Source organism: Homo sapiens, chromosome 17, assembly GCF_000001405.40.
Source record: "Homo sapiens chromosome 17, GRCh38.p14 Primary Assembly".
Lineage (NCBI taxonomy): Eukaryota > Metazoa > Chordata > Mammalia > Primates > Hominidae > Homo > Homo sapiens.
Genome location: NC_000017.11, coordinates 6,483,136 through 6,495,692, shown reverse-complemented (window position 1 = coordinate 6,495,692; position 12,557 = coordinate 6,483,136). Strand labels below are relative to the sequence as shown.

General features: G+C 51.3%; 1 protein-coding gene across 5 annotated transcripts in view, besides 1 other annotated feature; it reads left to right on the top strand.

Moving 5' to 3' along the window:
- PITPNM3 (PITPNM family member 3) overlaps nt 1-12,557 on the top strand; it is a 105,293-nt gene that overhangs the window by 60,863 nt on the left and 31,873 nt on the right. For all 5 annotated transcript variants that reach the window (NM_001165966.2, NM_031220.4, XM_011524015.4 and 2 more), the window contains 2 exons: nt 11,401-11,477; nt 11,941-12,176. In NM_001165966.2, coding sequence (NP_001159438.1) covers nt 11,401-11,477; nt 11,941-12,176 — 313 coding nt within the window. The remainder of the gene's footprint in view (nt 1-11,400; nt 11,478-11,940; nt 12,177-12,557) is intronic.
- Nucleotides 2,261-2,762: an enhancer, noted in NCBI's record as "H3K27ac hESC enhancer chr17:6396251-6396752 (GRCh37/hg19 assembly coordinates)". NCBI's record gives its function as "activates a minimal SCP1, AML or CMV promoter by ChIP-STARR-seq in naive H9 embryonic stem cells {active_cell/tissue: H9 hESC(naive)}" and the evidence as "EXISTENCE:reporter gene assay evidence [ECO:0000049][PMID:30033119]".

Here is a 12,557-nt window from a genome sequence, read left to right as displayed (position 1 = left end):
TCTGGTGGGGGAAGGGTGCCTGCAGCATGCACACATGTGCAAGGGGTCCTTCGTCCACAGCGGTGAGCACGAGGACCCCAGAACCCAGCCTGGTGGTCCCTTTTGTCCTGGGCTTGCAGCTCCTGGCTGCAAGGGTTCACGCTCTCTGGAGCATGGGATGGCCAGGTCTTCTTATGTTGTTCTCCATCTTCCTGGAGTTGCGAAGGGACCCGTATAGAAGACTCTCTCCTCCACCCAGGGCCAGGGTGTGAGGATCTCTTTTCACCCTGAAGCATTCTCTGTCTCCAAATCCTTTCCTCTTGGGAACAAAAGAGCTTTTGGAAACAAAAGCCAGGAAGCTCTGCCACAAACCTTCCCAGAGGCAAAGGAGCCAGAGCTGGGAGAAGATATAAATTGGTATCTAAAAAAAAACCACCCTGCTACATGCACTTAGAAAAATTCTTATTTTTAATCTGTCTTTTGAGTAGGTAGCACATATACATGGTATAAAATGCCTCCCTCTCCTGTCTTCCAGCGCACACAATTCTCCCTAGAAGAAAAGATTATAACTGGCTTCTTAGATTCCATTTCAGAGATAATCTCTGCATACAAGAGTCTATCCATAAATATGCATTTATATATATTTTTATATCTATACCCTCACACAGATGGGAGCACACAGTTCCTTTCTTTGTGCACCTTGCTTTTCTCAGATGTTGATACTAGATCATGATTGTCTCCTTAGCTCAGTATGCTTAGAGGTGAGTTGTTTTTTGCAATGGGCATGTGCAATTTCACTGTGGTCCAATTTATTTAATCTGTCCCCTACTGGTGGACATATAGGTGCTTCCTGTCTTTTGCTGTTGTAAAAGCAATGTGGCAATGGTTAGCACTGTACATATGTCCTTTTGCACATGGGCTTGGAATTGCTGGGTCAAAGGCATTTTGCATGTTGAATGACATTGCCAAATGGCCCTTCACAGAGGCTATACTGATGTTTACTCTCACCAGCAATGAATGAAGAGATCGTTTTTCCACACCCTGGCCCATAGTGTGTCACAACTGCCAGTCTGACAGGTGGAAAAAAAAAAGTTGTCTTAGGGTAATTTCAATGAGCCTTCCTCTAGTTTAGGGTTCTAAGGTTGAGCACCTTTTTCCTATGTGTGAGAGCCATTCCTAGGCCCTGTGCTGGATGCCGCACACACTTGGCAGGGGTTACTGTGCAGGTGCGCATGGGCTGGAGTGTGCCACTGCATTCCTTTGTGTATGTGCTGTTCCAGGCAGGGCCAGGGTGGACTTGACAGGGGATCATTAGGGGGTCAGGCTAACAGCCTAAGAAGTTCCTGCTATGAGTAGCCTCTTCCCACTCTTTCTTCCCTGCCAAGAGTCTCCCTGAGGAGGCAGGGCTGTGGCGTGAAGGGATTAGTAAGAGCAAAGAGACCATTCCTTTCTTACTCCCCTCCTTCAGGACGATGAAGAGCCCTGACCTGGTGACCTGGGTTCAAGTACCCAGCCCTCCACTTACATCTTGAGAGAAATCACTTTACCTTTCCAATCCTTGGTTTTCTCATCTTTAAGATGGGGAGAGTACTCCTGACCTCACAGGATGAATGTGAAGATTGCCTGAGACACCGGATGAGGACTAGAAACTCAGGACCAGTCTTAGGGCTGTGTTTGTTGCAAAGGAGTCTGTAGGGGAACACCAGGGTTTGGGATTTCATGTCCCTCTAGCATCCCTGTGTCGTGGTGGCAGAGTTTTCTCATGGTTGTATACCTGGAAATTTCACTGGGCCCGATTCAGGATGGCACCTCTGATCTGAACTGGGATCCCCCATGAGAACTGTTCCTCCGAACTAACCCCGTGTTCACTTGGGGTATCTAACAACATGTTCTCAAGGGGCAGGGTTTAGGGCATAGGCCCTCGCAAGGGCCAGGCCCTGGTCTGGGGTAGTGTCTCTGTGAAAGGCTCACTGGGCCGTTGAAGGTTTGAACACATCACCTTAGCCTGGTTAGTCAGATGAATCCAGGTGGACGTGATTAGATTCTGACCCTGAAAGCGTTAAGGAGTCATGGAGGGACCTCAGCCACCAGCTCCCCCAGACTCTGGATGAAACTTCCCTCCCCAGCACCCTGCTACGTGGTCACTTATATAACTTGCTTGTCTAACCTCAGTGAAGGAGAACAGCCTGCTTGCAGGTCAGCACAGGTCACTCTTGAACTGTTGTAAACATTTCCTAGGTTGTGCTAAAACTTGGAATGGCTCTCCAGAAACCACCCCAACCCTTATTTGTCCTGGCTTTGCCCTCTGCTCCCTTGACCCACACGAGGCTCAGCATAGATTTGCAGGCAGCTGCTGCTCTTCTCCAGGCTGGGTCTCTCAACCTCCTGAGCCCCTTTCTATAGCTTTCCTGCTCTGTTATTGGGCATCAGACATACCCTCAGCAGGGCCTGAGCTGCAGGGGCAGGGCAGGGATGTCTCCCTCTCATTTTGAACTGAGATCTCTGGTTTGTGCAGCCTTAGAGGTTGAGAAGTAACTGTGGCAGCCCCACTACCCTGACTCAAGCTGTTTGTAGCCTTTGGTCATGTGACTGATCTTGGGCACATGACCTAGGTCTTTGTCATTGACCCGACCTTGGTCACATGACCTACTCTTGGTCATGTGATCCCAGGGGCTTGAGAGATCTTTGAAGGCAGATGCTGTGTCTGATTGGTCTTGGTGTTTTCAGCCTTGACACAAGTTTGGGCAATAACCAATAGGGTGGGAATAGGCAAGTGGTATTGAGTTCATTGTTTTTTTTTTTTAAGTCCTTGGAAGGCTTACTTTATTTTTATTTTATTTTATTATTTTATTTTTTGAGATAGGGTTTCACTCTTATTGCCCAGGATGGAGTGCAACAGCAGGATCTCTGTTCACTGCAACCTCCACCTGCCGAGTTCAAGCAATCCTCCTGCCTCAGCCTCCCAAGTAGCTGGGATTACAGGCACCCGCCACCATGCCCAACTAATTTTTGTATTTTTAGTAGAGACGGGGTTTCACCATGTTGGCCAGGCTGGTCTTGAACTCCTGACCTCAACTGATCCACCCACCTTGGCCTCCCAAAGTGCTGGGATTATAGGTGTGAGCCATGGCGCCTAGCCTCGAGTTCATTTTTAACCCAAACACAGGATCTTAATTCACTCATCATGTTCCACATTTATTCTTTCCTTCCACAAGCATTTCTTATCCTTTTATACTCCCTCATTAGCCTGTCAGCTCCTGAGGGGAGGACAACATTTCACACTTTTTTCTTTGTAGTGTTTGTATTGACTAAAATAGGAGGTTGTGGCTGGTTTTAAAATGTTCTTGCATAGGCTGGGCACAGTGGCTCATGTCTGTAAACCCAGCACTTTGGGAGGCTGAGGTGGGCAGATCACAAGGTCAAGAGATCGAGACCATCCTGGCCAACATGGTGAAGCCCCGTCTTTACTAAAAATACAAAAATTAGCTGGGCATGGTGGGGGGGCGCCTGTAGTCCCAGCTACTGAGGAGGCTGAGGCAAGAGAATTGCTGGAACCCGGGAGGTGGAGGTTGCAGTGAGCCCAGATTGCGCCACTGCACTCCAGCCTGGTGACAGAGTGAGACTCTGTCTCAAAAAAAAAAAAAAAAAGTTCCTTGCATAAACATGACACATACTTGTATTATCTATCCAATAAACATTCATAAATAGTTTTAAACTAAAAGAAATATGGACTCCTTAGAGAAAAATTGGAAAATAGATGAAAGTAGAAAGTAAAATATATATATATATATATTACAGTTGTGAGCCATGGCGCCTAGCCCCTCTAGTTCATTTTTAACCCAAACACAGGATCTTAATTCTTAATTAATTCTTTATTATATATATATATATATATATTCCATTGTCCCAGCATCTAGAGAAAACCACTGTAAACATTTTAGTGTGTTTCCTTCTAATATGAGGCCCCAAGCTTCTTCCCCCACCTCCCCCACCATTATTTAGATTGTCATTTTTCCTTTTCTGCAATGCTAGGAGCTGGGAACCTGCAGAGGAGGGTGGCCTGCAGTCTGGCTGCTGAACAAGCTCAGTGGCTTTTAAGTTTCAGTCTCTTGAAGCCCTCAGGAGCTGCCTAGGGACAGGGATGTGCTGGAGTGAGGAAGGTGGGCTCTGGGCCCCCCAGCCTGCTTCAGCCAGAGCCGATCCACTTTCATCTTTGCAAATTGGGCTCCTAAGGGAACTTTCATTGGCTAAAAATTTCCCCTGTTTTTAAAAAAGTTTTAAAACCTTCAGAACAGCTTCACGCTGTTCCATCCGCATCTGCTACTGGCTGTTGGTCCCCACATCTTGTGTGGCCGCAGGTTCCCATTCATGAGCCCACATTCCTTGAGCTCAAGTGGTGAGAGCTATGGGTTCCTTAGATAGTTTCTTATTCTGCCAGTGTGTTCCCCTCCCCAGATGCCCCTAAGCCCTTGGCATTCCCTTGAGCTGCTGGTCCAGCGACCCTATCTATGCCACATGCTATGATGCAGGGTTAGCGAGCTGGTTCCAAGAGTACCTATCAGAGCTCTGGGAGCCACTGCTCCCCTCCCCTCCCCTCGCCTCCCCTCCCCTCCCCTCCCTTCCCTTCCCCTCCCCTTTCCTCCCCTCCCCCTCCCCTTTCCTCTCCTCCCCTCCCCTTTCCTCTCCTCCCCTCCCCTTTCCTCCCCTTCCCTCCCCTCCCCTCCCCTTCCCTTTCTTTCTTTTTTTTTTTTGGTGACAGAGTCTTGCTCTGTCTCCTAGGCTGGAGTGCAGTGGGGCCATCTCGGCTCACTGCAACCCCCGCCTCCCAGGTTTAAGTGATTCTCCTGCCTCAGTCTCCCAGGTAGCTAGGATTACAGCTAAATACGTGCCCACCACCACGCCTGTCTAATTTTTGTATTTTTAGTAGACAGGGTTTCACCAGGTTGGCCGGGCTGGTCTCGAACTCCTGAGCTCAACTGATCTGCCCACCTCAGCCTCCCAAAGTACTGGGATTATAGGCATGAGCCACTGCGCCCGGCCCCACTGCTTCCTTTTCTAAGGGTCCTCAAAGCGTTTGTTTATTAATTTGCCCCAGGACTTGCCTAGGAATCAACGCCAAGCCCCTAGCTGGAATCAACCACTTTGAAAAGCAAAGTGAAATTTGCCGCCTGCAGCTTTTTGGTTGCTCTTCCTTTCTCCATAGCCTCTCAGAGTGACTCCATCATTGTGACTCTGGGTCCCCTTCAAGGTCCTAGTGCCAAATTCTGCTGGGTCTGGAGGCTAGCACTCACAGAGGGCACTTATGCTTGGACTCATAGAATCTCAGACTGCCTGACTCTTACCGGGGAATGTAGGCAAACCCCTCCTTTTGCGGTGGTTTGCAGAGCGTGTCTGAGGTCACCCTCTGAGTAGAGGGTTAGTTTCCCATCCGAGGACTCTATCCAGGGCCTGTCTCCCCTGTAAGTCTGTGTGTGTCCCCTTCTTTCTGCATGTGTGTGTCATGCGGGCTCACCTGGGGAATGGGGGCTGTGGATTGAGTCCCCCAGGTGCTACTGAATGAGGCTGTAGTTCTTCCCAGATGTCATCTAGGTATATGGATGAATCCCACATCACAGCAAAATAGCAAAGCCTTTGACTTCCAGGCAGGGCCAGGGTGGACTTGACAGGGGATCCTCAGAGCATAACATGTCTTTTTATTTTTTTTTTTGAGATGGAGTCTCGCTCTGTCTGTCGCCAGGCTGGAGTGCAGTGGTGTGATCTCGGCTCACTGCAACCTCTGCCTGCCGGGTTCAAGCGATTCTTCTGCCTCAGCCTCCCGAGTAGCTGGGATTACAGGTGCGCACCACCATGCCCAGCTAATTTTTGTATTTTTAGTAGAGATGGGGTTTCACCATGTTGGCCAGGCTGGTCTCGAACTCCTGACCTCGTGATCTGCCTGCCTTGGTCCCCCAAAGTGCTGGGACTACAGGCGTGAGCCACGGTCCCCGGCAAGTAACGTCTTTTTAAATGGGGAATGAGCTTGACTGAAAGGGCCTAACAGTCTAAGAAGTTCCTGCTCCTCATAGTAGCCTCTCCTCACTTTTTCCTCCCTGCCAAGAGTCTCTCTGAGGAGGCAGGGCTGAGGGGTGGAGGCATTAGTAAGAACAAAGAGACCATCCCTTTCTTACTCCCCTCCTTCAGGATGATGAAGAGCCCTGGCCTGGTGACCTGGGCCGGTTTAGGCAAAAAAAAAATAAAAAAAAACCTTATGTTTCCACCCATGTATGAGCTTCCACTAGCTTACAGAGGATTAGATACTTTTGTAGCTACTTCTCAGGATGTGCCACATGGTCTCAAGCTGGGCCCAGCTCTGCTTGGTTGATGCCAGGGGTGACTAACGGGGGGTGGGAGTGACTGCCAAGGATGGAGGAGGAGACTGAGTGTTTGGCTTTAGCCAGTGGGCCCTCAGCATCCACCCCTGTGGACCCCAGAGGTTGGTAGCAAGAGAGAGGGAGACAGCTATGCTCTCCAGCCGAGCTGGGGTGATGCTTTGCTTGGGGTGCTGAGTGTGTGGGTGATGACCTTGGCTTTCGTCTCAAGAGCAGTGTGGCGCATTGGTAATTAGAGGGGATGATCACGATTTGTACCTCTCCAAGGCTGTGATTAAGCAAACATAGGCTCCATTCTTCAGGCATCAAGAGCAGCCATGGTGAGCTGGGTGGACCACCTCTCCTGATGTGGAGCTAGTGGGGCACTGGGAGCTGGCACTGCGGTAGCTGGCCTGTCTCAAAGCCTGTCAAAAAACACTGTCACAAAAACAGCTGTGGGCTCCCCCACCCCAAATCTGGGCACTGCAGGGACCCAGCCTGAATAGGGACATGCAAACAGAAATTAACAGGAAGTGGGAAGAAACAGGCAGCCTAATGATGAGGTCCTGGGGTCCCCTTTATGTGGCTCTCCACCCCTTAGGACCCCCTGCCAGCTGCTCTTGTCACCAGAGTCCCTGAGGAAGCCTCTAGGGGTGGAATTATGAAGCCCAGGCCAGACTCTTCTAGAATCCCCAGAGGTTCCCAGGTACCAGTTCCTGTGAGTACTTTGAAGCAACGTGCTTCTCAGTGGATGATGCTTCCCTGAACCTGATTTCTCCTGGGGGTTTAATGGCACAGAGATGTCTCACAGGATGTGTGCATCCTGGGATCTTCCAAAAGGTTTTCACAAAAGTGCCATCCTAGTCCCTGAAAACTGGTAAACTCTATTCTCAAGGGGCCCACAGTCTGATGGGGAAATAGACGAGTAAGCCAGGACCAGTGCCGCATACTATGGGATAGCCATCTTTGCCTAGATAGATCAAAGACGGCTTTCTAGAGGTGATAGCCATTGAGCAGGGTTTTGCAGGACAAGTAGGAGTTTGCCAGTCTGCAAAGGGAGGAAGGGCTTGCAGGCAGAGGGCTCAGCATGAGCAAAGGCAAGGACGAGTGAAAGAGTTATGTCTTGTGGGTGAGTCAGAGCCAATGGCCCCAATTATCATGGTAGGAATGTCTGGCTTTTAGAAGAGCAGAGACCTGTGGGGAAGGTACAGGGAAGGTAGCCTACGGCTGCCCCTGCTTGTCTACAGGGGCCTCTGCTAAGATGAAGACGGGAGGTGTGCCTTTCTGTGGGGAAGCTCTGGTCCTGTTAGTCAACTCTCAAGGGGCCAGAATCTGAATCTGGCAGGCTAGATCTCCCTTCCTCCATCTCCCAGAGCAAAGCATTCCTGGCTTTTGTGCATGGAAAGGAAGCAAGGCTCTGTCCCCAAACAGCGTAGGAGGTGAGACTCTTTCCTCCTGCTAGGGAGGAGTGAGGGATACTGAGGACAATCCTGCCCAGTCTCTGGCCTGAGGCTCCCATCCCCACGGAACCAGGCACGGCCTCAACATCGTTGGTGGCCAGGATGCAGCAGTCATCCACCGATTTGATGCCCAGAGCATCACATGGGTCGCGAGGGAGCTGGCTCCAGACAGATCAAAGATGGAGGTGCTCCTTGGCCTTTGTAATGGGTGAGGGCGCAGAGTCCAGCCCCCACCTAACAGAGGGCATCGTGCCCAGGAGACAACAGGACCCTCATGTCTTCCCTGCAATGTATTTATAGCCTTGCCATAGTAATTTGTGGCAATCACAGCATTTAATCCTGTAATCACACTGCAAACAGGCGCCCAGCCCAGCAAGGCCGAGGAGCATGCCAGGGCTCAGGGAGGGACTTGGCACCAGGGCAGGCAAGTGTGGAGGCGGCAATGTCCCCATCAGCCCATCTTGTCAGCTGTGGTCCTGGCTCTGTGCCCTGGATGTCCCCTGGATAATGATAATAATAACAATAGCCGCTAACCCATGTGACACTTCCTGTGTTCCACACCCTGCTCTAAGCCCTTTATGCATATGAACTCATCTATCCTCACCACCACCCCATGGGGTAGCTGCTTTTATTATCCCCATATTCCAGATGAAGAAACTGAGACACAGGTCACACAGCTGATAAGAGCCAAGATGTGAACTCAGGCGTTCTGGATCCAGGGTCCGTGGCTTTAACCACGCTCCTCCCAGCCCTAGAGCCAACCTCAGCCCTGCCATCACTCCTGGTTCTTCTTGACTCACAGCCTGCCCCAGAGCCGCACACACAGCCGCACACACCATGAAGCATGAGCGCTTTGTCTCAGGGAAGCCACACTCAGACCCTCTCCCTCCTGGTACTAGTTCACGTGGTGGAAAGGGGCCTGGCAGCGGCAGACCTGGGCTTTAACCTTTAAGGTACGTGGGGCAAGTGACATAGGTTGATTGAGCCTTGGTTTGCTCATCTGTAAAATGGGGCTAATAACAAGATCATTCAGACTCAGAGAGTAATTGTGGGGACTAGAGAGGATGAATCATGTAAAGCACATAGTGCCCAGGACATAATAAGTGCTTAACAAAGCTGAGCTGTTACTGTTGTCTTGTGTTATCATCCTGTCCTGAAGAGAGAGCCAGGGTCTCCTCTAGCCAAGCCCAAGGCAAGGTCTTTAGTAAGTTAGAAATTAGGCAGGAGAGCCTAGCCAATGGGAAGAACTAGGAAGTGCTGGGCACAGCCGGGCCCCAGGACGAGTTTTCCCTCTTCCTCCATCATTTAGGAAATGATTTCCTGTCTGTGTGGGCAGTAGCTCGGAGCTCATAAAGCAGTTACCCTTTGACTGGGATTGTGTCTGTGAGGACAGAATATTTCAGAAATGCTCTTCCCTGCTGAGAAAAGCTTCTCATTTGCAGTTCTTTGTAGAGGTACCCTCCCCTGGGGCTGGTCATGGTGAGGGGATGTTGACAGGGTGCCTAGGGTTGCCCGCAAAGCCCCTGGAAGGACCCTCCCCAGATGTGACTCCTAGAGGGGAGCAGCAGGCTCTGGTGGGGGTGGGGTGTGAAGAAGGCAAGGACCATCTTCATCTAGAACCTACGACTTTAAGAGATGAGCCAGTTCCTCCTCCCTGAAGACAAACAGGTGGTTCAGCTTGGCTGTAGGTTTTAGCCACACACGGGAGGTAGCATCCATCTCATGGGGGAGGAAGGAGAGGAGCTGAAGGCAGCCTGGTGGCAGGAAGGAGGCCTCAGAGTGCAGGTATCATTTGGGTGGGGGCTCAGGGGTGGCTGTTGGATGCCTTTGAAGTCTCTCCACCCAGGAGTCCAGTGTCATCACATTCAGGAGTGTAGGTGTTAGATCAGGGGTTGACAGACATTTCTGGAAAGGGCCAGATAATAAATATTTTCAGCTTTGTGAGCTGTAAGGTGTCTGCTGCAACTGCTCTGCTGCTGTAGCACAAAAGCCGCCTGCCATAGACAATATGTAAATGAAGGAGCCTGAGTGTGTTCCAATAAAACTTTATTTACAAAAACAGGCAGTGGGGCAGATTTGGTCCATGGCTGTGGTTTACTGAATTCTGTGTTAGGTAAATGAGAGCTCAGGGAGGGCTGGGAGCCAAGAAGGACTTCTTGAAGGAGGAGGCGTTGAGCCCAGGCTGCTGAGAGGAGCAAGGAGAGATTTCTGGCAAAGGCCAGCTTTACCCTAAAGCTCATGGGCAATGCCAGTAATGTTTCAAATGCCGACCTTAACTCTCTGGGAGTCTACCTTCCCTGGAAAGTGGTCCCGTAATTCAAGCCTCTATTATTTCTCTGTTAACTTCAAACAGATATTTTTTTTTTAAGTATGTATCCAGCCATATTAGGGTTCTGCGGAGAAACCGACCGAAAGGATATATACACAGATGTATAAAAAGAGACTTATTGGCCAGGCATGGTGGCTCACTCCTGTAATCCCAGCACTTTGGGAGGCCGAGGTGGGCGGATCACTTGAGGTCAGGAGTTTGAGACCAGCCTGAGCAACATGGAGAAACCCCGTCTCTACAAAAAATACAAAATTAGCCAGGTGTGGTGGCACACACCTGTAATCCCAGCTACTCGGGAGGCTGAGGCAGGAGAATCACTTGAACCCGGGAAGCGGAGGTTGCAGTGAGCCGAGATTGCACCATTGCACTCCAGCCTGGGCAACAAGAGTGAAACTCCATCAAAAAAAAAAAAAAAAGAAAAGAAAATTAAAAAGAGACTTATTATGAGGGACTGGCTTTCGTGCATGGTTTCGTGATGATGGAGGCTGAGAGGTTCCCTGACCTGCTGTCTGGAAGTCGGGAGGCCCAGGAAAGCCTGTGGTGTAGTTCCAGCCCAAGCCCAAAGGCCAGAGAACCGGGGGAGAAAATGGCACGAATCCCAGTTCAAGTCCTAAGGCCGGAGAAGCGGGAGTGCTGATGTGTGAGGCAGGAGATGGAAGTCTGAGCTTGAGAAGAGTGAATCCTCCCTCCCTGCAGCACTTTGTTCTGCTCAGACCCTCACGGACTGCACGGTGCCCACCTGCCTTGGTGAGGGCAGATCGCCTCATTCACTGCTTCAAATGCCAACCTCTTCCCAAAACACCTCACAGGTAGACCCAGAGAACATGTTTTACCAGCTCTCTGGGCACCTCTCAGCCCAGTCAAGAGTGGGTGCGTACGCTTTGCCATCACACCAGCTCTTCTAGTTGTTCTCAGCGGGAGGCTTTGCTCAAATCGCTGTCCATAACTGGAAGTGGAAGTCCTCAGGTGGTACTCACCCTTGCTGCTGTCCTGGTGAAGAAACGCAGGCTAGTTCCTTTCGAGGAAGCCCCTCCTTTCAGGAGCACCATCCGCGATGGCCTCACTCTGCCACCCTCCCTTTTCCTTATGAGGAGAAAGGGTTTCATGTTGTGTTGGTTTCAGAGGCAGGGCCTGGATGGGGTGACTCTCCCTAGCTCCAGACTCTAACTTGAGCTCACCTGTGATGTAAGCCAAGGTCTCACCTTTAGGGCCAGCTGGGCCCAGGGAGTGTCTGGTCACTGTAGGGAAGCCTGGAGATGCTGAGCTCCCCTCTTTCCCTCTGCAGGAGAACTGTACCGGGTTTCCTTGAGAAGACAGAGGTTCCCAGCCCAGGGAAGCATCGAGATCCACGAAGACAGCGAGGTAGGCTGGGCTTCGGAGGGTGTCTGGGCTCAACTCAGAGGCCAGGATTTTAGCAAGAGCCCTCGGATCATAGGCGGCCTCGTTTTCTTCCAGCTCTTCGTCTGACTTGCTGTGTGACCCTGGGTGGGTCTGTGTCCTTCTCTGGGCTTTGGGTTCCCATATGAACAGGAAGCATCTCTTGGGACTCTTCCTGCCCTGACATCCCTCCTGGCAGCCCATGTCCTTCCCTCACTCTGAATGCACCAGAGGTTCTATCACACAGCAGGGTGTATTAGAGCTGAGACTGCTCCTCAGATTGCAGCTGAGACAGGCTGGACATAGTGCCTGCTTCTCTGGCCTCAGTCTCCCCGTGTGTGCGTGTGTGTGAGTGTGTGTGTATGCGCACATGTGTGTGTGTGTCCCTGTGTGCCTCCCCCGACCCCAGCCGCCTCTCTCTCTGTATTCCAACCGCCTTGGCTCTCAGGAAGGCTGCCCGCAGCGCTCCTGCAAGACACATGTCCTCCTGCTGGTCCTGCATGGGGGAAACATCCTGGACACGGGTGCCGGGGACCCGTCCTGCAAGGCAGCCGACATCCACACCTTCAGCTCCGTGCTGGAGAAGGTCACACGAGCCCATTTCCCTGCTGCCCTGGGCCACATCCTCATCAAGTTCGTCCCCTGTCCTGCCATCTGCTCTGAGGCTTTCTCGCTTGTCTCTCAGTGAGTCCATTTCTGCTTGTTTGAACTGGTTGGGGTTGGTGGGGGAACTAAGTGGAGGGGCTCCCCCTGCAGCATGGACCCCGTGGGCAGGTGGGTACCTGCAAGGACTCTCTGGGGTGTCAGATCGTGACGAAACACAAGCATCCCTGGTGGAAGGTGTGGGAAGAGTCCTCTGCCTGGGCCTGGGTGTGCTGGGGTCCCCATGAAATCTTGATCCACTTCCAGTGTTCAACAAGCCTGATCTGTTTGGCCCAGATAAAGACACTGAGTGTTGGCCGGGTGCGGTGGCTCACGCCTGTAATCCCAGCACTTTGGGAGGCTGAGGTGGGCGGATCATGAGGTCAGAAGATCAAGACCATCCTGGCTAATATGGTGAAACCC